We start from the raw sequence: 27393 nt of genomic DNA, 5'->3' as shown, positions 1-27393 counted from the left end.
CTTTGGCAGATACTTTATTTTCCACCTTTCCTCAGATTACATGTAGGTTTTCGGTTGAAGCCATGGAACAGATTTCATAACCAAGTTCAAGCTTTCCTGATGACCTAGCTGTGTGACTATGGGCAGGTTAGTTTAATGTATCAGTTTCCTCAATCATAAAACTTGTGAAAATACTGATATTTATATTCTAGGTTGTTGAGAAGATTCAAAGACATGATGTCTACTAAGTGCCTAGCAGCAGTCCCAGGGCATAGTATATGCTCAATAAGCGAAAGCCATTAGTATTGTTTTGATAGTTTTAAACACTAGTAGACTTAAAACACACTAAATTTCAGATGGTAGCATACCTCCTACTCACACACAGGCCATAGGGTCCATTAGCTCCACATCAGGACCATTCTAATTTTTTTTTTTTTGAGACAGAGTCTCGCTGTGTCACACAGGCTGGAGTGCAATGGTGTGATCTCAGCTTACTGCAACCTCCACCTCCTGTGTTCATGCAATTCTCCTGCCTCAGCAACCCAAGAAGCTGGGATTACTGGTGCCTGCCACCACGCCCGGCTAATTTTTTGTATTTTTAGTAGAGACGGGGTTTCACCATGTTGGCCAGGTTGGTCTTGAACCCCTGACCTCAGGCGATCCACTCGCCTTGGCCTCCCCAGCTGCTGGGATTATAGGCATGGGCCACCGCGCCTGGCCCCATTCTAATTTTTCACTTCATTGGATTACAGTTGCTGTTTTTGGTGGGACATGAGGTTTCACACCCAGTATAGGAGACCTGATAATCTTCCCATTTCCGTCTAAACCAGAGTCTCCAGCTCTCCCACTGTCTCAATTATTCCAAATGCTATTTGAAACCGTATGTATACTTTGTGATAAAGAGCATAATATAAGAGATGGAAAAGCTCAGGGTTATTTTGAAAGGATGGAAAGCCCAACTTTGAGGAAAAGGAGTAGAAAAAGGGGGAAAATGGAAGTACTTGGTTCTATTGTGTCTGGAATTCGTAGGTTCTTGGTCTCACTGACTTCAAGAATGAAGCCGTGGGCCCTCGCGGTGAGTGTTACAGCTCTTAAGGTAGCGCGTCTGGAGTTTGTTCCTTCTGATGCTCGGATGTGTTCGGAGTTTCTTCCTTCTGGTGGGTTTCTGGTCTCGCTGGCGCAGGAGTGAAGCTGCAGACCTTCACCGTGAGTGTTACAGCTATTAAGGCGGCATGAACCCAAACAGTGAAAGAACAAACCTTCCACGTTGTAGAAGGGGATCAAGCGGCTTGCCACTGCTGGCCCGGGCAGCCTGCTTTTATGCTCTTATCTGGCCCCACCCACATCCTGCTGATTGGTAGAGCCTAGTGGTCTGTTTTGACAGGGTGCTGATTGGTGCGTTTACAATCCCTGAGCTAGACACAAAGGTTCTCCAAGTCCCCACCAGATTAGCTAGACACAGAGTGTCCACACAAAGGTTCTCCAAGGCCCCACCAGAATAGCTAGATACAGAGTGTGGATTGGTGCATTCACAGACCCTGAGCTAGACACAGGGTGCTGATTGGTGTGTTTACAAACCTTGAGCTAGATACAGAGTGCTGATTGGTGTATTTACAATCCCCAAGCTAGACATAAAGGTTCTCCAAGGTCCCACCAGAGCAGCTAGATACAGAGTGTCGATTGGTGCATTCACAAACCCTGAGTTAGACTCAGGGTGCTGATTGGTGTATTTACAATCCCTGAGCTAGCCATAAAGGTTCTCCACGTCCCCATCAGACTCAGGAGCCCAGCTGGCTTCACCCAGTGGCTCCTGCACCGGGGCTGCAGGTGGAGCTGCCTGCCAGTCCCGCGCCGTGGGCCCGCACTCCTCAGCCCTTGGGTGGTCGGTGGGACTGGGCGCCGTGGAGCAGGGGGTGGCGCTCGTCGGGGAGGCTCGGGCAGCACAGGAGCCCACGGAGGGGGTGGGAGGCTCAGGCATGGCGGGCTGCAAGTCCCGAGCCCTGCCCCGCGGGAAGGCAGCTAAGGCCCGGTGAGAAATGGAGCGCAGCGCCGGTGGGCTAGCACTGCTGGGGGACCCAGTACACCCTCCGCAGCCGCTGGCCGGGGTGCTAAGCCCCTCATTGCCCGGGGCCGGCAGGGCCAGCTGGCTGCTCCCAGTGCGGGGCCCGCCAAGCCCACGCCCACCCGGAACTCCAGCTGGCCCGCAAGCGCCGTGCGCAGCCCGGGTTCCCGCTCGCGCCTCTCCCTCCACACCTGCCTGCAAGCTGAGGGAGCCGGCTTCGGCCTTGCCCAGCCCAGAAAGGAGCTCTCACAGTGCAGCGGTGGGCTGAAGGGCTCCTCAAGTGCCGCCAAAGTGGGAGCCCAGGCAGAGGAGGCGCCGAGAGCGAGCGAGGGCTGTGAGGACTGCCAGCACGCTGTCACCTCTCACTATGCAATGCTTTTCATAGGAACTCGGGAATGTTTGTGTTCTGGACAGGTAGGTTATGGAAAGAGCAGTGGACTCGGGGTCATCAGGACAGGTTCCAATTGTATCAGTGCTACTTATGAGTCAAGTCGACTTAGGAAAGTTATGTATCTCTCAGTTTTTTTGTTTGTTTTTCTTTTTTTTTGAGATGGAGTTTCGCTCTTGTTGCCCAGGCTGGGGTGCAGTGGCATGATCTGTGCTCACTGCAACCTCCCTCCCAGGTTCAAGCGATTCTCCTGCCTCAGCCCCCCAAGTAGCTGGGATTACAGGCGACTACCACCATGCCCGGCTAATTTTGTATTTTTAGTAGAGATGGGGTTTCACTATGTTGGCCAAGCTGGTCTCAAACTCCTGACCTCAAGTGATCCATCCACCTCAGCCTTTCAGAGTGCTGGGATTACAGGCATGAACCACCATACCTGGCCCATATCTCTCAGTTTTGATTCCTTATCCTTAAAATGGGAATATCGTGGTGTTTGGGGGGAAATTGAATGAAAAAAAAAGATATGCAAGCATGGCACCCCCAAAAAACTCATTAAGTCTAACTTGGTTTTGAGAGAACTTCACAGTGACCATGGAACATGTGCTTTTAATATTCGGGCGGCAGCTAATATTGTTACTTTTGAGTATGTGCACATGTATTTCTGTGTTTATCGTAATATTGATGTTAGCCACAACATTTATAGAGCATTGACTGTGTTGGGTGATCAAACTATCCCAGTTTGCCCAGGACTGAGATTGCTCCCAGGATGCAGGACTTAGTGTTAAAATGGGGAAAAACTGGGCTGGGCGCAGTGGCTCACACCTGTAATCCCACACTTTGGGAGGCCGAGGTGGGCGGATCACGAGGTCAGGAGATTGAGACCATCCTGGCTAACACGGTGAAACCCCGTCTCTACTAAAAATACAAAAAATTAGCTGGGCGCACTGGTGGGAGGCTGAGGCAGGAGAATGGTGTGAACCCGGGAGGCAGAGCTTGCAGTGAGCTGAGATCACGCCACTGCACTGCAGCCTGGGCAACAGAGCAAGACTCTGTCTCAAAAAAAAAAAAAAAAACGGGGAAAAACTGGGAAAATATCAGTTATCCTTCTACTATATGCAAATCGCTCTGTACACGTTATCCCGTTAACCCTTCAAAGCAACCCTATGAAGTAGGGACTCACATTATTGCCATTTTACAGACGGAAAGGACACTTGGAGAGATTAAACAACTTGCCAAGCCACACAGCTAATTAATGAGAAGAGTAGGATCTGAAGTATGACCTGTCCAATTGTAGATCCCAAGAACTTAACCACCATACTCTGTGCTTTTCGACGTCTCCAAAGGTCTTTTATTGCTGTTGCCTCTGTTATTCCTGGAACATTGCTAAACACCTTCCCATGTTCCCTTCTGTCACCAACACTTCCTGCTGCCCACCTGGGCCTCCAGCAAAGGGAGACACCAGCTCACAGAGCTAGGTCATGCCCAGTCTTGTATGTAGGCACCGCAGAGGCCCCTCCTTCCCTTAGCAACAGACGCTGAGACATGGTTACTGTGCCCAGCGCCTGCATACAAGCACTGCCAGTGTTAAGAGTCCAGGGAGGAGGAGGGAGAACAGTTCGGGCTGCCAGGATGTTGTTTGGAGGGGTGAGTCTCCCTCTTCTCTGTATTAATGTGTAACTCTGCTTCAGTCTTTCCTCTGCAGTGAACTCAGTGTGTTTCTGGAAAATTTCCAAGAGAGAAGCACTCAAGGGAAAGGAAGCGTGGCCACCGCTGGGGGACTAGGAACCAGAGCCAAAAGCGCAGCAGAAACCCAGTGCTGTCCCCTTATCTCTAGCTTCCCTTTCTCTCCTTTTTTACCAGGGAACTCCTCAGCGGGCCAAAGTCTATGACCTCAGAGAGGCAACCTCATGAACAGAGCTTTCAGAACATCTGGAAAGTTCCATTGTTGGTGTCATCCCCATTATGCTATAAGGAAGTGTGAATTTCAGACCAACTGGATAGGAGAGGCACATCCCTGGAGAAGCTGAAAGCTCTTTATTCATTTTAAAAAAATAGCTACAATTAGAGTGGACACCATGGGTGACATGGATTGCTCATCTCAGAAGGTAGGTGTGAATTTTAAGACGTTTCTTGTTTTACCTGTATTTTTTTTTTTTATTTTTTATTTTGAGACAGAGTTTTGCTCTTTGTTGCCCAGGCTGGAGTGCAATGGTGTGATCTCGGCTCACTGCAACCTCCGCCTCCTGGGTTCAAGTGATTCTCCTGCCTCAGCCTCCTGAGTAGCTGGGATTACAGGCATGTGCCACCACACCTGGCTAATTTTGTATTTTTAGTGGAGACAGGGTTTATCCATGTTGGTCAGGCTGGTCTTGAACTCCCGATCTCAGGAGATCCGCCTGCCTCAGCCTCCCAAAGTGCTGGGATTACAGGTGTGAGCCACCGTGTCTGGCCGATTTACCTGTATTTTTAATGTGTTGGGAATATGTGGGAAGAGGGCCAATTGGCATGTTAGATGCCCTTGACTGAACAAGTGTATTCATCACATTTTTTTGTTGTCTGCTTTGAAATATCATTTTTGCTGAATTAGACTTTTGGAAATCTTCAAGTTTTGCTGTGAAAAATCCGGGAATAGACACCCGTTCTTCCCTTTCCTTCCCTTCCAAGCCCATTAGACCATATATTCCAACCATCAGTTTTTGACTGTGGCTGAACATTAGAATATTCTGGGGAGCATCTTAAAAACATAGAGTCTTGGTCCCCCACTCCTAGATTCCGATCCAGAAGATTTGGAGTGGGGCCCTGGAATCTATATTTTTATCTAAGACCAGAGTGATTCTGGTGTAGCACGTCCTCAGACGAGCATTTGGGAATGGCCTCCATGAAGAACATACATACAACATGTGTAATCAGCAATAAGCTGCCCAAAGTGACAGTTCTACCCAATCTAAGTTCCAGAATTTCTGTTGTATCTGTGTTGAATCACCAGGTTGCCATACAGCGAAGTGCCCAGAGGAGCATTTTAAATAGAAACTTTGTAAAACTAAAGTGGATTTGTAGATAATAACTAAGCCAATATGCTCTGAAGTGAAAGCTCCTTGAAATTTACCAAAGAGAAGATTTAAGCATTAATTTCTTTCTTTCTTTTTCTTTCTTTCTTTTTTTTTTTTTGAGACAGTTTGTCTCTGTTATCCAGGCTGGAGTGCAGTGGCGTGATCTTCACTCACTGAAGCGTCTGCTTTCTGGGTTCAAGCGATTCTCCTGCCTCAGTCTCCTGAGTAGCTGGAACTACAGGTGTGCGCCACCGCCTGGCTAATTTTTGTATTTTTAGTAGAGACGGGATTTCTCCATGTTGGCCAGGCTGGTCTCGAACTCCTGGCCTCAAGTGATCCACCCGCCTCGGCCTCCCAAAGTGCTGGGATTATAGACATTAGCTACCACGGCTGGCCAAGCATTCATATTTTTAACAAACAATTTTGCACAACCAGCTAGTTCTTATGAGAATCTCGATCTCTTGAAGGTGCCACAGAGGATTCTTAGCCATTTATTGCCAGGAAAACTCTTTTAGCCCCATTCTGCAATTGATGCCTAGATCTGCTCATGTTGTGTGTGCCCCATGTGTTCCTGATCGACAGACTGGGATGCTTTCTGCTATCAGCGTACTTATGACTGTTTGTGTATTTGTTTTAGTCCAAGCCTATGACATAGCCTAGTTTAATTTGTTTCTACAGAGGTTCTCCCTCTTTCCATTGTGTTCTGCAAAATGCTCACGGTTTGCTTTCTTCATTATCCCGAGAACAGCGTCCCTGTCAGTTTGCATGATGCAGTAAGGAAGCTGAGGCAGGAGAATCGCTCGAACCTAGGGGGTGGAGGTTGCAGTTGTAGTGAGCCAAGATTGTGTCACTGCACTCCAGCCTGGGCGACAGAGCGAAAACTTGGACTCAAAAAAAAAAAATAAATAATAATAATAATAATAAATAAGTCACTGACTTAGAAGTCAAGCCGGCCAATTACATGGCTAGGATGTGTTACCTATCTTCTCACCCTCATTTTCTTCAGCTAGAATGCGGGTATGAAAAAAATCTCATGAGGTTGTACAGTACCTGGCACATAATCGTTTGGAATAATGGTAGATAGTATTGCTGCGGTTGTTGTTTTTCTGTTGTTATTTAATGAGGTAGGTGCTCCGGGAGAGATAATGATGGTTAATTTGAGTCATCTTTAAGGGGTTGGGGGCAGAGGGACAGCTAATAGTCATATGCCCCCTGCCCCATCCCACCCTCATCAGTGATCTTGCATGTCATAATTTGCACACCCAAATAAATCACACTGATACGATGTTGGCTCATCTTATATAGGAGTTAAGTCCAAAGTCAATGCCTAAGGTGAAAATCACAGAGAGTCAAAATTGCCCTTGAAAATCCCTCAAACCACCTTTAAAGTGCTGAACGGCAGCACCTCTCAATAAGTCCAGGCCAACAGCTTTTCTTCTAGTGTTGGAACAAGTTGCAGTTTCTCCATCACTAGTCCCAGGTGAAGTGGTTGTTTTGCATATAGGGGCTAAGTCTTAAGACAAAAACACATGTGATTTCATTCAATAATGTAGTCACTTTCTTCTCTGCTCAGGAGAGGTGGAGGGTCACTTGGAATCTGAGAGTGATTGTGGGAGCCACAAGTTGACCCTTACCTGAGGCTCACTCCACAGTATGCACTCACTGGTTGGAATGGAGTACTCAACACCCACATTGTTGAAATAACACTTTTTCTTTTCGCAGGAATCATAAAGAGTTGCTTATGTGTGTGTTAAATACACAGAAAATTCAGTGCCACTGCCTGAGTGAATTTCTCTTTGGAATTTTGCACATGTGAAAATGCAAGAGTCCACCTGGTGGAGTGGCTTATGCCTGTAATCCGAGCACTTTGGAAGGTCGAAGCAGGTGGATCACCTGAGGTCAGGAGTTCAAGACCAGCCTGACCAATGTGGTGAAACCCCGTCTCTACTAAAAATATGAAAATTAGCCAGGCATGGTGGTGGGCACCCATCCAGCTTCTTGGGAGGCTGAGGCAGGAGGATTGCTTGAACCTGGGAAGCAGCAGTTGCAGTGAGCTAAGATCGTACCATTGCACTCTAGCCTGGGTGACAGAGTGAGAGACTATCTCAAAAAAAAAAAAATGCAAGAGTCAATGTTTTTAAAGTCACCTCCTTTAATCATACCTGAGGGTAGGGTACTGGGGATGTCCTCAGAATTTGGGCTCTTCCACGGGGGAAAAATATTCAAATTTGCTCATAGAAGGGAATCCGAGGAGGAGACACTGAATGATTAAAAAATGAAGCAGGGGCCGGGCGTGGTGGCTCATGCCTGTAATCCCAGAACTTTGGGAGGCCGAGGAGGGCAGATCACTTGAGGCCAGGAGTTCAAGACCAGCCTGGCCAACATGATGAAACCCCGTCTCTACTAAAAATATAAAATTAGCTGGGCATGGTGGCAGTCACCTGTAATCCCAGCTACTTGGGAGGCTGAGGGAGGAGAATCACTTGACCCCCGGAGGCAGAGGTTGCATTGAGCTGAGATAGAGCCACTGCACTCCAGCCTGGGTGACAGAGCAAGACTCCATCTCAAAAAAAAAAAGAAAGAAAGAAAAAAGAAACAGGAGTGGAAGGGTTGGGGAGATGGTCATAGGATATAAAATTTCAGTTAGATGGAATAAGTTCAAGAGATCTGTTGTACAGCATGATGACTAATTAACAATATATTGTATTCTTGAACAACGCTATGAGAGTAGATGTGTTCTCACTGCAAAGATAATAACCATGCAAGGTAACGCATATGATAATTAGATTTAGTCACTCTATAATGTATATACACTTCAATACATCTCAGAGTGCAATCTCAGCTCACCGCAACCTCCGCGTCCCAGGTTCAAGCAACTCTCCTGTCTCAGCCTCCCAAGTAGCTGAGACTACAGGCACACGCCACCATGCCTGGCTAATTTTTGTATTTTTAGTAGAGACAGGGTTTCACCATATTGGTCAGGCTGGTCTCGAACTCCTGACCTCAGGTGATCCACCCTCCCTGGCCTCTCAAACTGGTGGGATTACCGGGGTGAGCTACCGCACCCAGCCCTTATCTGTTAATTTTTAAATAAATGAAACATACATAATGGATGGGAATGAGAGGAGTGTTTTGTTTTAGGTCCAGAACTCTGGACCTAAAACTTTTCCTGGGGACCTCTTTAGTCCTAACCAACTCAGAGGCTTGCAAATCTTCCCTAATTTTTGAAGGGTGACTTTGTTCCCATGTCCCACAGATCGCCAAAAGTGACTCCATACATCACATGAGCCACTCCCAGGGGCAGCCAGAGCTGCCTCCTCTGCCTGCTTCTGCTAATGAGGAACCGTCTGGACTCTATCAGGTATGCACACCTGGCTGCCAGCTCTTCTGTTGAGGGTGAGGAGGTGAAGTGCATCCCCCACTTCTCTCCGTATTTGGCAGGTACTCAATGAGGGTGGAGAGTCAAACAGACCTGACAAGTAGGATTAGTAGCTTTGGTCGCTTTTGCCCCCAGAAGAGGCTGCAGAAGTGTGGGAGAGAGAGCTATGCCATTGTCCAAAGGTGAATTAGAATCTGGCCGTCCACTGATCTGCTGTGTTATTTAAACTCTCTGAACTTCTGCGTGTTTCATTGTAAAATGAGGGTAATTGCTTGTACCTTGTAGTCATGTCCATAAGGAATAAAGACCAGAGATGTCAATTACCTGCCTCAAAATTACTGGTGAATGCAAGCTATTATCCCTGACATCAGAATTCATGCTTACAATGGTCAGAGAAGTACAGTTGGTGTCTGTTCAGACAATCTTTCCACTGAATGTGCAGAAGGCAGAAACATAGCATAAGGCACTTGGAACTCTTGTGAGCCTCAGTGTGAGCAGAGCTCAGGCTCATCGAGAGATGTTCCTCATTGTGTCTCACTCTGCACTTCTTACCTCGTAGACTGTCATGTCACACAGCTTTTACCCGCCCTTGATGCAACGCACGTCATGGACCTTGGCTGCACCCTTCAAAGAACAGCATCACCACCGTGGACCCAGTGATTCCATCGCCAACAACTACTCCTTGATGGCCCAGGACCTGAAGCTGAAAGATCTGCTGAAGGTCTACCAACCGGCCACCATCAGTGTCCCTAGGGACAGGACCGGTCAGGGGCTGCCATCATCAGGTACTTGTGGCAGTGTCACACCCTTGCAGAATGGGGCTTTGGAGGAAATTTTTATTTATTTATTTATTTTAGATGGAGTCTCACTCTGTCGCCCAGGCTGGAGTGCCATGGCACGATCGTGGCTCATTGCAACCTCCGCCTCCCGGATTCAAGTGATTCTCCTGCCTCAGCCTCCTGAGTAGCTGGGACTACAGGCCACACCTGGCTATTTTTTTTTGTATTTTTAGTAGAGATGGGGTTTCACTATGTTGGCCAGGCTGGTCTCAAACTCCTGACCTCAGGTGATCCACCTGCCTCAACCTCCGAAAGTGCTGGGATTACAGGCATGAGCCACTGTGCCTGGCCTGGAGTGAAATTTTTACTCCTGGATTCTGATCCTGGCTCCCCTTTTGCTGAAGCTAACTTTGGAGACTTTGCAAAGCCTCACTCTCCTCCTTATCTATGGAGGAAATGATTGCAAACGGCTAACATTTATAGACCATTTACATATACCAGGCACTGTTCTATGTACTTGTGTTATTGTTTGCATGATAAGTTATTCCAAAATTCTGTGGCTTAAAAGAACCAGTATTTGTTATCTTACAATTTCAGTGGGGCAGGAACGTGGGCATGGCTGAATTTGTAGTGCTGGCTCAGGGCCCCTCACTAGCGTACAATCAAGGCATACACCAAGGCCACCATCATCTAAAGGCAACTAGGGAAGGATCCTCTTCCAGGCTCACTCATGTCATCAGGTCCTTGCTGGCTGTTGGCCATAGACACCAGTTTCTTGCCACACGGGTCTCTCCCTTAGAACAACTCACAACATGGCTTCTGGCTTCCCTTAGAGCGAGGGAGGGGGAGAGAAAGAGAGAGAGCCAGCAAGAGAGAACCCATAGGCTTTTTTGGAACTTAATCTTGGAAGTGACATCTTGTCACTTTTGCCACATTCTATTTGTTAGGAGTCACTAGTTCTAGCCCATACTCAAGGGGAGAGGATTACACCACAAAGGGGTGTTACCAGGAGATGGGGATCATTGGGGGCTGTCTTGGAAGCTGCTTACCACAGCACCTTGTATGTATTAATTTAATTCCCACCAAGCATAGGTATATTGGCATAAGGATATCCTTTAGTAATTTTTGTTGGATGTATGTTGGCACTCTTGATCTGCTCTCTGTCTCAAACTCATTTTTATATTTTTCATTGTTTTCTCTGTGCTACGTCTGGGTGAGTTTCTTAATTACATCTTCCAATTTACTAATTTTCTCTTCAACTCTGTTCAGTCTTGAGTTTTTCATGTCTAATGAGTGTTTTTTGTTTAAATGACTATCTTTCCATTTCAAATTTTCTGATTACTTATGGTTTTCTACCTCCCTTTTCCAACTCCTGATTCCATTCTTATTGTCATAGCCCTTTCAATATCACTTGGAGGATTTCTTTTTCCCAAGTGGTTCTTACCAGTGTTATTTGTGTATTACATACACACCCACAGTCTCTAGGATGCTGCTTTTGCATGTTCCTGCTTTAAGGACATGTAGCAAATAATTAATGCCCAAATGTTCAAGATCATGATACACAGAACCTTAAGTTTGCTGCTCTAATTGGTAATTTCATGGTCATCATCTTAGTTCCTTTTGGGCTGCTATAACAAAGAATCATAAACTGAGTGGCTTATAAACTACAGAAATTCATATCTTGTGGTTCTGGAGTCTGTAAAGTCCGAGATCAAGGTACCAACAGATTCAGTCTATGATGAAGGTCCTCTTCCTGATTCATAGACATCTGTCTTCTCTATCTTCTTGCTGCATGCTCACATGGGAGAAGGGGTGAGAAATCTTTTTGCTGTTTTTTTTATAAAGGCACAATCTCATTCATAAGATGGAGCCCTCATGACCTAGTCACCTCCCAAGAGTCCCACCTCCAAATACCATCATGCTGGGGATTAAGGTTCAACATACTAATTTTGACAAGACATTAGCTTTCAGTCTGTAGCAGTCTTTAATAATTTTCTTAGTCCAAAATTATTAATATCTGTGAAGAACTAGTGCTATTGCTTCCCAGGTTTCATTGTCCCCAAAATTCTCAGGCAAGCCAGAGTCTTTGAATATAAAGTACTAAGATGCTTTCTTCAGAGCGGCACTGGTGTCTGTTATTCATGTCCTTGCTTGAGATGATTTCTGCTTATTATTCATTAAAATACATTTGTACTTGGAGGATCTTAAAAATTTATTTTGGAGCAATATTGTTATTGCTGTATTATTTCCATTTTGTGAATCTGTACCTTGATTGTTGTGTTTATTGAGAGGGTTGCTTGCCCCCAGGAGTTGGAGACCAGCCTGGGTAACATGACAAAACCCCGTCTCTACAAAAGATAGGAAAATTAGCCAGGTGTGGTGGCATGCGCCTGTACTCCTAGCTACTCAGGAGACTGAGGTGGGAGGATCACCTGAGCCTGGGTGGTTGAGGTTGCAGTGAGCTGAAATCATGCCACTGCACTCCAGCACAGGCAGCAGAGTGAGACCCTGTCTCAAAAAAAAAAAAAAAAAGGATTTTTGTATTGTTGTTATATGTGGACTATTTTGAGAAGTTCAAAGATAGACACTTTAGGAAGTAATATCTAATTAAAGTTGAATAATATAGTTTTTATATCACTTATTGAATTAATTGTAGCTACCTTCTATTTATTGCAAATGATATTGGTTTTTCTACTTGCAATAAATATGTACTTATTTTTTATTTGTGATAATCATAAAATTTCTTTTAAAAATAAATGTACTAAGTTTATTTTATTTATGTATGTATGTATGCATGTATGTATGTATGTATATTTTTTGAGACGGAGTTTCGCTCTCATTGCCCAGGCTGGAGTGCAATGGTGCTATCTTGGCTCACTGCAACCTCCGTCCCCAGGGTTCAAGCGATTCTTCTGCCTCAGCCTCCTGAGTAGCTGGGATTACAGGCGTGTGCCACCATGCCTGGCTAATTTTTGTATTTTTAGTAGAGATGGGGGATTTCACCATGTTGGTCAGGCTGGTCTCCAACTCCTGACCTCGTGATCTGCCTGTCTCGGCCTCCCAAAGTGCTGGGATTACAGGCATGAGCCACCGTGTCCGGCCTATTTTATTTTTTATTTTATTTATTTATTTTTGAGACGGAGTCTCACTCTGTCGCCCAGTATGGAGTGCAGTGGCACGATCTCGGCTCACTGCAACCTCCACCTCCTGGGTTCAAGCAATTCTCCCTGCCTCAGCCTCCCAAGTAGCTGGGTCTACAGGCGCTCGCCGCAATGCCCGGCTAATTTTTGTATTTTTCAGTAGAGATGGGGTTTCGCCATGTTGGCCAGGCTGGTCGTGAACTCCTGACCTCAGGTGATCTGCCTGCCTTAGCCTCCCAAAGTACTGGGATTACAGGCATGAGCCACCGTGCCTGGCCAAATGTACTAAGTTTAAATGCCCAGGTCTACTTAAAGAGAAATATTAAACAGTAATATAACAGGTGTTTAGAAAATAGAGCATACAATATTGGAGAGTACATGAAACAAGCAGTTATTAATTCTTGCCAAATGTATGAACGAATGGAAGATACGCACATCCCCACTTTACAGTTGAGGAAGCTGAGGTCCGGAGTGATGAAGCCAGTTCTTCAGGGTCACACAGGTAATCAGTGATGCACATGAGACCTGAGCCCACATCTCCTGCCACGTCACACCGTACCATGTCCGCTCCCCTTAGTGTGCTCCTGGACTGTTCCGAGAGTCATGCCCCTGTGGACGGAGAATGGCCCAAGGCCATTGCCCATCACTGATGTCTTTCTTCTCCATTCTTCCAGGAAATAGAAGCTCATCAGAGCCCATGAGGAAAAAAACGAAGTTTTCCTCCAGAAACAAAGAGGATTCCACTAGGTAAGATATCACTGTGGGCACCAGAGAAGGCAGGACGGTGGGCTGAACAGAAGGATGTGGTCTCACTAAAGCCACACTCTGCTTCTTGGCTTCAAAGCATTCCCAGATAATCATATTCTTATCCACGAATCACTTTAATCAAAAAAAAAATTTTTTTTTTTGAGATGGAGTCTTGCTCTGTTGCCCGGGCTGGAGTGCAGTGGCATGATCTCAGCTTGCTGCAACATCTGCCTCCCGGGTTCAAGCGACTCTCCTTCCTTAGCCTCCTGAGTAGCTGGGATTTCAGGTGCATGCCACCAGGCCTGGCTGATTTTTGTATTTTTAGTAGAGACGTGGTTTCACCATGTTGGCCAGGCTTTTTGAGATTGTAGACAAAAATAAACCAACTGAACAAAACCATGCTAAAATACCTATGAGGTGTTCAGTCATTAGGGTCATCTTGGAAGTATACACACATGCCATTAGATGACACAGAGGAGAGAGGCTTCTATTTGCAGAACCACACTCATCAGGCTAGGGAAAGTAGGCAACACCACAGCACCTCTCTGGAGAACCAAACACCAAGGGCTGAGCTGTGTCTACTTTTCAGGATCAAGTTGGCCTTCAAGACGTCAATCTTCTCACCCATGAAGAAGGAGGTAAAGACATCTTTGACGTTCCCAGGAAGCAGACCAATGAGTCCAGAACAGCAGCTCGATGTCATGTTACAGCAGGAGATGGAAATGGAAAGTAAAGAAAAGAAGCCATCTGAATCGGACCTGGAGGTACGTTCCTGTTGCCCCCTTTCCCTCGGTTTGCTGAGGGTTACTCTCGGCATCTCAGTGATTCTAAATTCAGGGAGAACAGCAGAATCACCTGGGAAATGTTTGAAAAACACCAAAGTCTAGACCCAAGACAGGCTACTGAAGAGGGCGCATGTTTGTGTGCTTGTGCGAGTGAGAGAGAAGGAGAGAGAGTGTGTGTACATGTTCTCTGCCCTAGTAAGTGATGGAAATTGATACCTTGAGTCCTTTTAGAATATAAGTTGCAAAAATAGTGGCCCATAGGCTGGGGGTGCCAGATTTTGCAAGACAAAAAATGGGACACATAGTTAAATTCAAATTTTAGGTAATGAATAACTTTTTAGTATAAGTATATCCCAAAGCATCCCATATTTTATATGGGATCTCTATCATAGGCTGAATTTGGCCTGTAGATGTGTTTTAAGAATGAGGTGGCTGGGCATGGTGGCTCACACCTGTAATCCCAGCACTTTGGGAGGCCGAGGCAGGTGGATCACTTGAGGTCAGGAGTTCAAAACCAGCCTGGTCAACATGCTGAAACCCCGTCTCTACTAAAAATACAAAAACAAAATTAGCCAGGCATGGTGGCAGGCGCCTGTAATTTCAGCTACTCGGGAGGCTGAGGCAGGAGAATCACTTGAACCTGGGAGGTGGAGGTTGCAGTGAGCCAAGATTGAGCCACTGCACTTCGGCATGGGCAACAGAGCGAGGCTCTATCTCAAAAAAAAAAAAAAAAAAAAAGAATGAGGTGGCTGGGCATGGTGACTCATGCCTGTAATCCCAGCACTTTAGGAGGAGGAATGGGGAGGATCACTTGAGCCCAGGATCTCAAGACCAGCCTGGGTAACATGGAGAAACCCAATCTCTACAAAAATTAGCTGGGTATGGTACCATGCATCTGTGGTCCCAGCTACTTGGGAGGCTGAGGTGGGAGGATCACTTGTCCCTGGGAAGCTGAGGCTGCAGTGAGCTATGATTGTGCCACTACATTCCAGTCTGGGCAGCAGAGTGAGACCTTGTCTCAAAAAAAGGGTAGGGGGAGGGATTCACAACCCTTTCTAGGACAAGACAACCTATCCCTTGGTCCCCTTCTCTGACACCTCAGGCATCCCAGCTATGATCATGCCACTGCACTCCAGCCTGGGCAACAGAGCAAGACCATATCTCAAAAAAAAAAAAAAAAAAAAAAAAAAAAAAGCATGAGGAAAGTCTCAAGCTACATTTTCCAACTTCTCTTGAGAAAACTAAAATATTTGGTGCTAAGCAGTAGCTACCTCCTTTAGATGAGAAATACACTCTTCAGTTTGTCATAGTTCCCACCATTCCTTATTATTTTCTTAGGTCTAGACAACTTTCACTTATTAACATTACCTGCCTGGCTCTAGATAGATGTTGGAGTTTCCAACCCGTCTTAAAAGAACAATAAAACTTTAGAGCAAATGTCTTGTGGGTTTAGGGTGTATAATAAAATGATTAATAAAAACTCACAGTGACTATGTGCTGTTGGCAAAATTCCCTGCTAAACCCTCTATAGCTACTTGACCCCACTTGAGACCCAGGTTCTATGATTATCTCTATTGTCCAGTTGCGGAAAGTGGAGTATAGACTGTTTAAGCAATGTGCTTAGGGCTACAGGGTAGGAGACAAAACTAAGACTGAAAGCCGGTCTGGCTGATACCAAAGTCTCTGTGTTGTTTTTTTTTTTTATTAGAGGGAGTCTTGCTCTGTTACCCAGGCTAGAGTGCAGTGGCACGATCTCGGCTCACTGCAACCTCTGCCTCCTGGGTTCAAGTGATTCTCCTGCCTCAGCCTCCCAAGTAGCTGGGATTACAGGCAACTGCCACCATGCCCAGCTAATTTTTGTATTTTAGTAGAGATGGGGTTTCACTATGTAGGTCAAGCTGGTCTCGAACTCCTGACCTTGAATGATCCACCCACCTCAGCCTCCTAAAGTGCTGGGATTATGGCGTGAGCCACCGCACCCAGCCAGTCTCTGTGTTCTTAAGAGCTGTGCAGCATTTCTGAAACTTGCCTGAAGATAAGGGTCACCTGGGGTCCTTGGTAAACACCCTAACTGCCTGAGGAGGGGCCTGGGAATCTGCATTTTAACAAGCACTTTTTACCCCCACCCTGCACCCAGGCAGTTCTTAAAATCAGAAAAGCTTTGCAATACTCCCCTGTTAGCAGCTGCTTTTACTAACGTTGGAGAGAGGCGAGAGTAACAAAGAGGCTGGCAGCAGCAACCTCTTTTTCTTTTCTTTTTTTTTTTTGAGACAGAATCTCGCTCTGTCACCCAGGTTTGAATGCTGTGGCGTGATCTTGCCCCACTGCAATCTCCACCTCCTGGGTTCAAGCAATTCTGCTGTCTCAGCCTCCTGAGTAGCTGGGATTACAGGTATGCACCACCCCACCTGGCTGATTTTTGTATTTTTAGTAGAGATAGGGTTTCACCATGTTGGTCAGGCTGGTCTCAAACTCCTGACTTCAGGTGATCCACCCGCCTTGGCCTCCCAAAGTGCTGGGATTACAGGCATGAGCCACCGTGCCTGGCCAGCAACCTCTTCTGATCTGAAACTTAAAAACAGACTTCAAGCCCTTTCCTCACACTCTGTGCTTCTCCTCTATCTGACATTAGTCATTCCCAGAGCCACTCAGCCATCCAGCAGCTCAGAGGCAAACCCTAAATATACAAAATTTCCTGAAGTCACTAGGTTCCACTGGCCATTTTTGTTTCATTTGTGTGTTTATGTTGCTTTTGAAACTCAAAAGCCCTTGCTTGGGTAAGAAGAACTATCAGCTGGGTGTGGTGGCTCATGCCTATAATTCCAGCACTTTGGGAGGCCAAGGTGGGTGGATCACCTGAGGTCAGGAGTTTGAGACCAGCCTGGCCAACATGGTGAAACCCCGTCTCCACTAAAAATACAAAAATTAGCTGGCTGTGGTGGTGCACACCTGTAATCCCAGCTACTTGGGAGGCTGAGGCAGGAGAATTGCTTGAACCCGGGAGGCAGAGGTTGCAGTGAGCTGAGATTGTGCCACTGCACTCCAGCCTGAGCGACAAAAGTGAAATTCTGTGTCAAAAAAAAAAAAAAAAGAACAACAATAGATCTTGGACTTTGGGGTTATTTTTCCCCACTGACAGCTAGAAGCCATGGGATCAAAGTGTTTTGTAGGAGATCATTGCTGTTCAGGAGGGTATGTGATTCGAGGCCATTTTAGGAGCTTGTCATTCCTTTACTTTTTTTTTTTTTTTTTTAGACAGAAATCCAACCCTGTTTGTCTGAGCTACCTTAGAAGGCAGAATCAGGACCAGTGAGTGAAAGCTTCCGGGGGGTAAATTCTAGCTCTGGATCAGGAAAATCTAATGTTTTTTTGTTTGTTTTTGAGACAGAGTCTCGATTGGTCACCCAGGCTGGAGTGCAGTGGCATGACCTTGGCTCACTGCAACCTCCACCTCCTGGGTTCCAGCAATTTTCCTGCCTCAGCCTCCTGAGCAGATGGGACTACAGGTGTGCGCCACCACGCCCGGCTAATTTTTGTATTTTGTAGTAGAGATGGGGTTTCACCATATTGGCCAGGCTGGTCTCGAACCCCTGACCTTGCAATTCTCCCACCTTTGCCTCCCAAAATGCTGAGATTACAGGTGTAAGCCACCACACCTGGCCTGTTATTCCTCTTCTTAAAGGTCACCAGATATGCCACCTCCATCCCTGGACTCTGTACTCACTCCACTGTTCCTATCTGGGTGGTATTTGACAAATCCTTCCTTATACCCCACTGACATCTCTCTGGCTTTGGTTGAATCCTCTGAAGTCCTGGGGAAAATTTGCCAGTGATCTTCTTGCCATGAGTGTGAAGCGACAGGCCCAGAATGCATGGTTATGGCAAGTGAAGGGTGCAGACGAATGCTGTATGAATGGGGTCCCTTGGCAGCTGATGGGCAGGACAGTTGAACCCATGATCCAATCATGACCATTTTCTCGCTGGTGGTTTGTTTATGGAAGAGATACTATTACTATCTGACCAATGGAATTCGCAAAGACATGATTGCCCCTGAGGAGGGTGAAGTGATGGTTCGGATTTCAAAGCTGATTTCTAACACGCTGCTGACGAGTCCCTTCCTGGAGCCCCTGATGGTGGTCCTCGTGCAGGAGAAGGAGAATGACTATTACTGTAGCCTCATGAAAAGCATCGGTAAGGCTGGTGGGCATAAAGGGGGCTGGGGAGCTTCTATGTAGAGGGCACCTTCTTTTTTATTTTTATTTTTGTAGAGACAAGGTCTTGCTTTGTTGCTCAGGCTGGTCTGGAACTCCTGGGCTCAAGCAATCCTCCCTCCTTAGCCTCCCAAAGTGCTAGGATTACAGGCATGAGGCACCATGCCTGGCCTGGAAGGCATCTTCTTTCTTCTCACTTTGTCATTTGCCACCCTGATTCCACTGGAAATACCCAAAACATCATTTAACCGCTAATTCAAAGTCCTGCATCCCCCTACCATCACTGATGTCTACACCAGCACTTCACATATTCACGTGCATCCCTGTAACCTGCAGATCTTAAAATGCAGATTGCGATTCAGTAGATCTGAACCTGGGGCCTGAGATTCTACATTTGTAAGTTTAAAACAATTTTTTTTTTTTTTTTTTAGCGACAAGGTCTCCCTATGTTGCCTAGGCTTGTCTTGAACATCCTGGACTCAAGAGATCCTCCTGCCTCGGCCTCCCAAAGTGCTGGGATTATAGACATGAGCCATCACACCTGGCTGAGATTCTACACTTCTTTTTTTTTTCTTTTTTGAGACAGTCTTGCTCTGTCGCCCAGGCTGAAGTGCAGTGGTGTGATCTCTGCTCACTGCAACTGCAGAGGTTGGTCAGGATTTCAAGACCTACCTGGGCGGACCCCTGGGTTCACGCAATTCTCCTGCCTCAGCCTCCTGAGTAGCTGGGACTACAGGCACGCACCACCACTCCCAGCTAATTTTTGTATTTTTAGTAGAGACAAGGTTTCGCCATGTTGGCCAGTCTGGTCTCGAATTCATGACCTCAAGTGATCTACCCACCTCAGCCTCTCAAAGTGCTGGGATTACAGGTGTGAGCCACCGCACCCAGCCTGCTACTTGTTCTTTATGACCCAGCACAAATGTTACATCCTCTATGAAGCTTTTCTACCAACCTTTCTTAGTATGGAAAACATTTGGTCTTTAAACTTCTATTTGTAAATATAATGGATGGTATCATCCATGGTGGGTTTTTTTGTGTGCATCTATTTTGGTGTGAGAAATCAATCAGTGACTAATGAGTTATCAGCAAATCCTATTTCATTGTCCTGCCTGATACTAGACATCCTACCAGGGCTCAACCCCAGATTCTAAGTGCTCCACACCGTGAAGTCACACTCCTCCTTTCTGTAAAATACCCTCAGAAAGAAAACAAACACCAAGAGTGAAGCTTCACCAGTTGAATTATACCCAGGGGATTACCCATGACCTTGCAAATGGACAGAGGCTCATTTATATTCTAAGAGTTGAAGCTAAGGCCAGGTGTGCTAGCTCACACCTATAATCGCAGCACTTTGGGAGGCCGAGGCGGGTGGATCACCTGAGGTCAGGATTTCAAGACCAACCTGGCCAACATGGCAAAACCCTGTATCTACTGAAAATACAAAAAATTAGGCAGGTGTGGTGGCAGCCACCTGTAATCCCAGCTACTCAGGAGGCTGAGGCAGGAGAATGGCTTGAACCTAGGAGGCGGAGGTGGAGGTTGCAGTGAGCTGAGATTGAACCATTGCAATCGAGCCTGGGCGACAGAGCGAGACTCCATCTCAAAAAATAAATAAATAAATAAATAAAAAGAGTTGACTCTAAGGCCAGGCATAGCAACTCATGCCTGTAATCCCAGCACTTTGGCAGGCTGAGGTGGGAGGATCACTTGAGCCCAGGAGTTTGAGACCAGCCTGGCCAACTTAGTGAGACCCCGTCTCTATATTAAAAACAAAACTAAATGAGTTGAAGCTAAGAGCACAACCCTTAGAGCTTAATAATGAGGTGTTCGCCCTTTCCGGTTGTAGTTGATTACATCCTCATGGACCCAATGGAGAGAAAACGGCTCTTTATTGAGAGCATCCCCCGCTTGTTTCCTCAAAGAGTGATCCGGGCCCCTGTGCCCTGGCACAGTGTCTACAGGAGCGCCAAGAAGTGGAACGAGGAGCATCTGCACACGGTGAACCCCATGATGCTCAGGCTGAAAGAACTGTGGTTTGCAGAGTAAGAAGTCCCTCCCTTTTTTTTTCATTCCCTTTCTTGACCACATCCACGTGTAAGCAAGCCTATTCTGCTGTGCACAGTGGGGGTAGCCCTGACAGCATAGAGAAATGAAAGAAAAAAAAATCTAGGCCAAATATGCATGTGAATTATAAGTGACACCTTTCCTTGCAGGCTTACGTGGCCCTCCTTTGTGTCCCCAGGGCACCCTGTGCCTGTCTCTAAGCACTGGAATATCCTGCTTAATTGCACAGACTTGGAGCCAGCCTGCTCAGGTCTAACTCCTAGCTCTGCTGCTTTACAGGCATATATGTGGTCGCATCACTTTTCTGTGCCTTGCTTCCTTTACCTCTAAATTTGCGATAATGTTAATAAGAGTTTCCACTTCATAGGATTGATAAGAGGAATAAATAACTTACTACATCCAAAGCACTTAGAACAGTATCTAATATAACTTAAGCACCAGTAATTGTTAATTTGGCATTACCTCCATTACAACATCACCCTCAGTTTTTGTTTTTGAGACAGAGTTTGGCTCTTGTTACCCAGGCTGGAGTGCAATGGCGCGATCTTGGCTCACTGCAGCCTCCGCCTCCCGGGTTCAAGCGATTCTCCTGTCTCAACCTCCCGAGTAGCTGGGATTACAGGCATGCGCCACCATGCCTGGCTAATTTTGCATCTTTAGTCAAGATGGGGTTTCTCCATGTTGGTCAGGCTGGTCTCGAACTCTCGATCTCAGGTGATCTGCCAGCCTCAGCCTCCCAAAGTGCTGGGATTAGAGACATGGGCCATCGCACCCAGCTCACCCTTGGTTATAATAGAACATTTACTTATTTGTCTCCCTTTAGCCTATGAAGTGTGTGCGGGCTTGGGTTTTATTCCTTTTTTTTTTTTTTTTTTGAGACGAATCTCACCCTGTCACCCAGGCTGGAGTGCAGTGGCATAATCTCGATTCACTGCAACCTCCTCCTCCCAAGCTGAAGCAATCCTCCCACCTCAGTCTCCCAAGTTAGCTGAGTAGTTGGGACCACAGACCCACACCACCACACCCAGCTAATTTTTTGTATTTTTTGATAGAGACGGAGTTTCACCATGTTGTCCAGACTGGTCTCAAACTCCTAAGCTCAAGCAATCCACCCACATCGGCACCCCAAAGTTCTGGGATTACAGGTGTAAGCCACCACGCCCGGACGGTCTTATTCCTTTATGTAACTCAGTGCCAGTACAGGGCTGGCAAGCAGTGATCTCTCAGGTATATTTATCAATAATTAAATTTGCGAAACTCCGTCTCAAAAAAAAAAAAATTGTAGGAGTCCAGATGAGACAGAAGCCACCTTTTTTCATTCTTTCATTTTAAAAAAAAGTGAGATATCCACATTCCATAAAATTCACCCTTTGAAAGTACACAATGCAAGTTTTTAATATATTCACAAGTTTGTTTAATCCTTACCACTGTCTAATTCAAGAGTATTATCATTACCCCAAAAAGAAACCCATTAGCAGTCACTCCGCATTCTCACCTTCCCCCATTTCCTCCCAACCACTAAGTGATTTTCTGTCTCTATGGATTTGCATATTCTGGACATTTTATAGAAATGGAATCATGCAATATATGATCTTTTGTGTCTGGTGTCTTTCAATGAACAATATTGTCAGTCTTCATCCACACTGAAGCTTGTATCAGTAGTGAGTGCTTCCTTTTTATGGCGGCATACTAATCCATTGGATGGCTATCCGACATTTGTTTTATCTATGCATCAATTGCAGTGAGCCTGGAGGTGGAAGACTCTGGTTTTTTTAGTGAGCCCTTCAAGAAGGTACACATCCTGGTGAGAGGATGAAGACACCGGAGTTCACTGAAAGGCCAGGCTAATGAAATGATGAGCTGCCCCCATCTGAGTTTTGTATTAGAAAAATTAGAGGCAGATATGCTTACTTAACTTTGATTGGCCGAACTTATTAGTAGCTCATGTATTTTGCTTTGGGAGGATCTCTAGCTTTGAACGTGTTCAGTCTTAAGGGAGCCCTGTGGCTTGGAGAACCTACTTGTTTTTCAAATCCTTAGTTTTGCTTGTATTTTAAAAAGGAATTGAGGGGGTGAAGTCAACGTAGGACAGAGCCCATCAGTGAAAAGAAATAGCTGTATTCTTTTCTTTGAACTGAATTCAATTTTCTAAAGCATTGGAAGTACCAGTCAGCAGTCAGGACATTGAGAAAAAAGAAGTAATTTTCTAACTAAGTGGAACCATATAAAGTAATAACTTATAGAATGGGATCTGAATTCTGGTTCTTGTTCTGTTACTAATTAATAGTATAATTTGAGAGAAATTAATCCCTCTGTGACTGTTTTCTTTTCTTTCTTTCTCTCTTCCTTTCTTTCTCTCCCCCTTTTTTTTTTTTTTTTTTTGAGATGGAGTTTCACTCTTGTTGCCCAGGCTGGAGTGCAATGGCGCGATCTTGGCTCACCGCAACCTCTGCCTCCCAGGTTCAAACATTTCTCCTGCCTCAGCCTCCCTAGTAGCTGGGATTACAGGCATGTGCCACCATGCCTGGCTAATTTTTTTTTGTATTTTTAGTAGAGACAGGGTTTCTCCATGTTGGTCAGGCTGGTCTCGAACTCCCGACCTCAGGTGATCCACCTGCCTCAGCCTCCCAAAGTGCTGGGATTACAGGCAAGAGCCACCACGTCCGGCCTTTCTTTCTTTCCTTCCTTCCTTTCTTTTTCTTTCTTTCCTTCCTTCCTTCCTTCCTTCCTTCTCTCTCATCTCTCTTTCTTTTCTTTCTTCCTTCCTTCCTTCCTTCCTTTCTTTCCTTCTTTCTTTCTTCCTTTCTTTTCTTCTTTCTTTCTCTTTGACCCTGTTTGTCCTTCCTTCCTTCCTTCCTTCCTTCCTCTGTGACCCTGTTTCTTTCTTGCTTTCTTGCTTGCTTTCTTGTTTTAGACAAGCTTTTGCTCTGTCACCCAGGGTGTGGTGCAGTGGCATGATTAGAGTTCACTGCAGCCTCAAACTCCTGGGCTCTCTCCTCAGCCTCCCAAGTAGCTGGGACTATAGGTGCATGCCACCATGTCTGACTAATTTTTACATTTTTTGTAGAAACAGGGTCTCTCTAGGTTGCTTAGGCTGGGCTTGAACTCCTGGCTTTAAGAATTCCTCCTTCCTCAGCCTCCCAAAGTGTTGCGATTACAGGCATGAGCCACCGCCTAGTCTGACCCTGTGTTCTACATGCAAATGGGAATCATCATAACAATACCTACCTCCTGGAGTTGTTAGCTAAAGAAAGTGCTTAGACTGCTGCTTGGCACACAGTAATTGCTCAACAAATTAAGGTATTGCTTTAAGTACAAGCGTGTTTATGAGCTAAAAAAATAAATTAACATAGAAACTAGTGAGGAAGTCAGTCTTAGAGCTGGATGAATAGCCAGAAACTTCATAAAGAAGTTCAGAAGATAATAGATAATCACATGTACCTGAGTTTAAATTGATCTCGTAGCAAAGACGGCAAATTGTTGAGCCTATAGCTTCACTGAGAAGAAAGGCTTTTTACCACTTGCTTTTCATGGTTCCCTGAGGAAGATTATGCCAGCAACAGCAGCACCAAAGTGAACTGAAATCATTTAGAAGAATTTTATCAACTGAACCAAAAAAATCAGCAATGAGAGCCTGGGCGTGGTGGCTCATGCCTGTAATCCCAGCACCTTGGGAGGCTGAGGTGGGTGGATCACCTGAGGTCAGGAGTTGGACACCAGCCTGACCAACATGGTGAAACCCTGTCTCTACTAAAAATACAAAAATTAGCCAGGCGTGATGGTGTGTGCCTGTAGTCCCAGCTACTTGGGAGGCTGAGGCAGGAGAATTGCTTGAACCTCAGAAGCTGAGGCTGCAGTGAGCCAAGATCGCCACTGCACTCCAGCCTGGGTGACAGAGTGAGACCCTGTCTCAAGAAAAAAAAAAAAAAAAAAGTGGAGGGCTTGATGAGAGCTTTTTATTAGTTTCCGCTCTTCCTTATCCAGCCGCTCTATCCTACCGATATACTCTGGACAACTCTAGCATCAATAGTTCTAGGAGGTGTCACTCAAGCATAAGATAGAAAATAAATATATATTAGGTCCAAAGGCTCTTCTGTCTCTTGGCTTCCAAACTGTGAGTTCATTTGTTTTTTTTTTTTTTTTTTCATTTATTTAGTCATTCATTCATTCATTCATTTAACAAATAGGTGCCAGGTCCTGGTTATGTGCTAAGCATTGTTTTAGTGTAGTAGAGAACAGAAGTGAGTTCATTTTTCTAGGGGGAAAACAGACAATAAATATATTAGGTAAATAAATTATATAATATGTTAGAAGGTGATGGGTACTATGAAAAGAAAAATTAGCCAGAGTAATGGGGATAGGGAGTGTGGTTTGTGTGGGGCTGGGGTGGGGCTGCTTGCCCATAAAACACTTGTTTGAATCTAACAAACCTCCCCGCTACCCCTGTCCACTAATGGGATGGATGCAGCCTAACACCAGGGTGCATTTGTTTTTGTTTTTGAGACAGAGCCTTGCTCTGTTGCCCAGGCTGGAGTGCAGTGGTGCGGTCTCGACTCACTGCAACCTCTGCCTCCTAGGTTCAAACAATTCTCCTGCCTCAGCCTCCTGAGTAGCTGGGATTACAGACACCCGCCACCAGGCCCGGCTAATTTTTTTTTTTTTTTTTTTTGTAGAGATAGGGTTTCACCATGTTGGCCAGGCTAGTCTCTTAACTCCTGACCTCAAATGATCCACCCACCTTGGCCTCCCAAAGTGCCGGGATTACAGGAGTGAGCCACCATACCCAGCCCCAGGGTGCATTTCTTGACAAGCAGAGCACTCACCCATTCTGGCCCTTTGGAAGGGGCAGATCCTGCACAACCACACACCCAGCCATGGGTAGCCTTTACTGTGAAGGTGACATTTGAGCCAAGGCTGGAAGGTGAAGAGTCAGCTCCATAGAAGTCGAGGGGATGAGTATTGGAGGCAGCGGGAACAGCTTGTGCACAGGACCCAAGCAGCAGCAGGTGGGCACGGCCTGGAAACAGTATGAGGTGAGCGTGCCTGGAACACTGTGAGTCACGGAGGTGGGTAGGAGAGGAGATGGGGAGGGGGGGAGGTGACAGGCAGGACAGGAGCAAGAGAGATGGCATAGGGTGCAGAGCACCTAGTGGGCCCCAGTCACTAGGCACGCTTTTACTCTGAAATGGGAAGTCATTGGAGGGTTTGGAGCAGATAGAATCTGACTTAGGTGTTAAAAGGATACCCCTCGTAGTGGAGAAAACTCTCATTTCTTCTCACTGGTTGGCCTTTCTTCACCCTCACAGTGACAGGAGTTAGAGGGCTTAAAGAGGCTTTTTTGGCTCCACAAGCTTTTTTTTTTTTTTTTTTTCTTTGTAGAGACAGGGTGTTGCTCTGTCACCCAGGCTGGAGTGCAGTGATGCAATCAGGGCTCACTGTAGCCTTGACCTCCTGGGTTCAAGCGATCTTCCTGCCTCAGCCTCCTAAGTAGCTGGGATTACAGGTGTGCACCACCACACCCAGCGCGTCTATTTTTTTTTTTTTTAGACGAGTCTCGCTCTGTCCCCCAGGCTGGAGTGCAGTGGCGTGATCTCCTGTCACTGCAAGCTCCACCTCCCGAGTTCAAGCAATTCTCTGCCTCAGCCTCCCGGGTGGTTGGGATTACAGGCGCCCGCCACCACACCCGGCTAATTTTTTTGTATTTTTAGTAGAGACGGGGTTTCAGCATCTTGGCCAGGCTGGTCTTGAACTCCTGACCTTGTGATCCACCCACCTCAGCCTCCCAAAGTGCTGGGATTACAGGTGTGAGCCACCGCGCCCGGCCTTTTTTGTTTTGTTTTGTTTTGTTTTTGGAGAGATGATGTCTCACTATATTGCCAGGCTGGTCTTGAACTCCTGAGCTCAAAGCCATCCTCTCTCCTTAGCCTCCAAAGTGCTGGGATCCATAAACTCTTTGTTTTAAATCAAAGCAGTCCTCAAAGTTACCTTCAAGAGCTCACCCAGAGGCTTGGGTGAATCCCATTTGATGATGAAGATGTTCTGCTTGGTCCTGGCCTCTGGGTCTTCACTGTTGTAAAGAACATTGATTCGTCCATTTGATACCCAAGTTCTCAGCCAGCTGAGTCTCCAGCTGGTGCCACAGCCCCACTTCTTGATGGGTTATGCAGAGTGAGGCATATCTCTAAGGCTCAGGAGCACTCTTGGGTCACCTCATTTGTCTCCTCCCTGCAAGCGTTCTTTAGGACTTAGCTCCTCCCTCCTCAGCCTCCCATATCCTCCTCAGCATCTTTCCCATATCCTGTAATTCATTTGATTCTGCTTAACTTTCATTGAGAAACGTGAACACACACCCTTGGAACCTGTCCTGCGGGATTTGTTATTAAGCGTTCTTTAGCTTAGGAAATTTCTCCCTCTCTTTTGGCAGATTCAGAGACCTCAGGTTTGTTCGAACAGCAGAAATACTAGCGGGAAAATTGCCTCTGCAGCCTCAGGAATTTTGGGATGTGATCCAGAAACACTGCCTGGAGGCACACCAGACTCTTCTCAACAAGTCAGTATCTGCCCTCCAAGTGGGGCTGCACCATGGTATCTTAAAGACTGAAAACCCTCTGAAATGAAGCTGGTACCCAGCCTGGGGTTTGTCCCACTGGCATCCTTTCGTGTCTTTTTTTTTTTTGAGACAGAGTCTCTTTCTGTCACTCAGGCTGGAGTGCAGTGGTGTGATCTCAGCTCACTGCAACTTCTGCCTCCCGGGTTCAAGCGATTATCCTGCCTCAGCGCCCCCAGTAGCTGGGACTACAGGTGCATGC

General features: G+C 46.2%; 1 protein-coding gene across 15 annotated transcripts in view, besides 1 other annotated feature; it reads left to right on the top strand.

Moving 5' to 3' along the window:
- DNAH3 (dynein axonemal heavy chain 3) overlaps positions 1 to 27393 on the top strand; it is a 226349-nt gene that overhangs the window by 4639 nt on the left and 194317 nt on the right. For 7 of the 15 annotated variants that reach the window (XM_017023427.2, XM_017023426.2, XM_017023428.2 and 4 more), the window contains exons 1-10: positions 3975 to 4070; positions 4287 to 4531; positions 7199 to 7374; positions 8733 to 8837; positions 9415 to 9640; positions 13449 to 13521; positions 14111 to 14285; positions 18308 to 18497; positions 20367 to 20562; positions 27009 to 27134. In XM_017023427.2, the coding sequence (XP_016878916.1) occupies positions 7324 to 7374; positions 8733 to 8837; positions 9415 to 9640; positions 13449 to 13521; positions 14111 to 14285; positions 18308 to 18497; positions 20367 to 20562; positions 27009 to 27134 (1142 nt within the window). In that variant the 5' untranslated portion in view covers positions 3975 to 4070; positions 4287 to 4531; positions 7199 to 7323. Of the gene's footprint in view, positions 1 to 1737; positions 2456 to 3974; positions 4071 to 4286; positions 4532 to 7198; positions 7375 to 8732; positions 8838 to 9414; positions 9641 to 13448; positions 13522 to 14110; positions 14286 to 18307; positions 18498 to 20366; positions 20563 to 25305; positions 25618 to 27008; positions 27135 to 27393 lie in introns of those variants that run through there. The other 8 variants (NM_001347886.2, NM_001394581.1, XM_017023432.2 and 5 more) reach the window with 6 other exon arrangements.
- Positions 1519 to 1813: an enhancer, noted in NCBI's record as "tiled region #1818; HepG2 Activating non-DNase unmatched - State 18:Pol2, and K562 Activating non-DNase unmatched - State 23:Low". NCBI's record gives its function as "activates a minimal TATA promoter and a strong SV40 promoter by Sharpr-MPRA in HepG2 cells, with weak activation in K562 cells {active_cell/tissue: HepG2 | K562}" and the evidence as "EXISTENCE:reporter gene assay evidence [ECO:0000049][PMID:27701403]".

This window comes from Homo sapiens, chromosome 16, assembly GCF_000001405.40.
Source record: "Homo sapiens chromosome 16, GRCh38.p14 Primary Assembly".
In the NCBI taxonomy this organism is placed as follows: Eukaryota; Metazoa; Chordata; class Mammalia; order Primates; family Hominidae; genus Homo; species Homo sapiens.
Note: the sequence above shows the minus strand (reverse complement) of the source record. Positions and strands in the feature narration are given on the sequence as shown.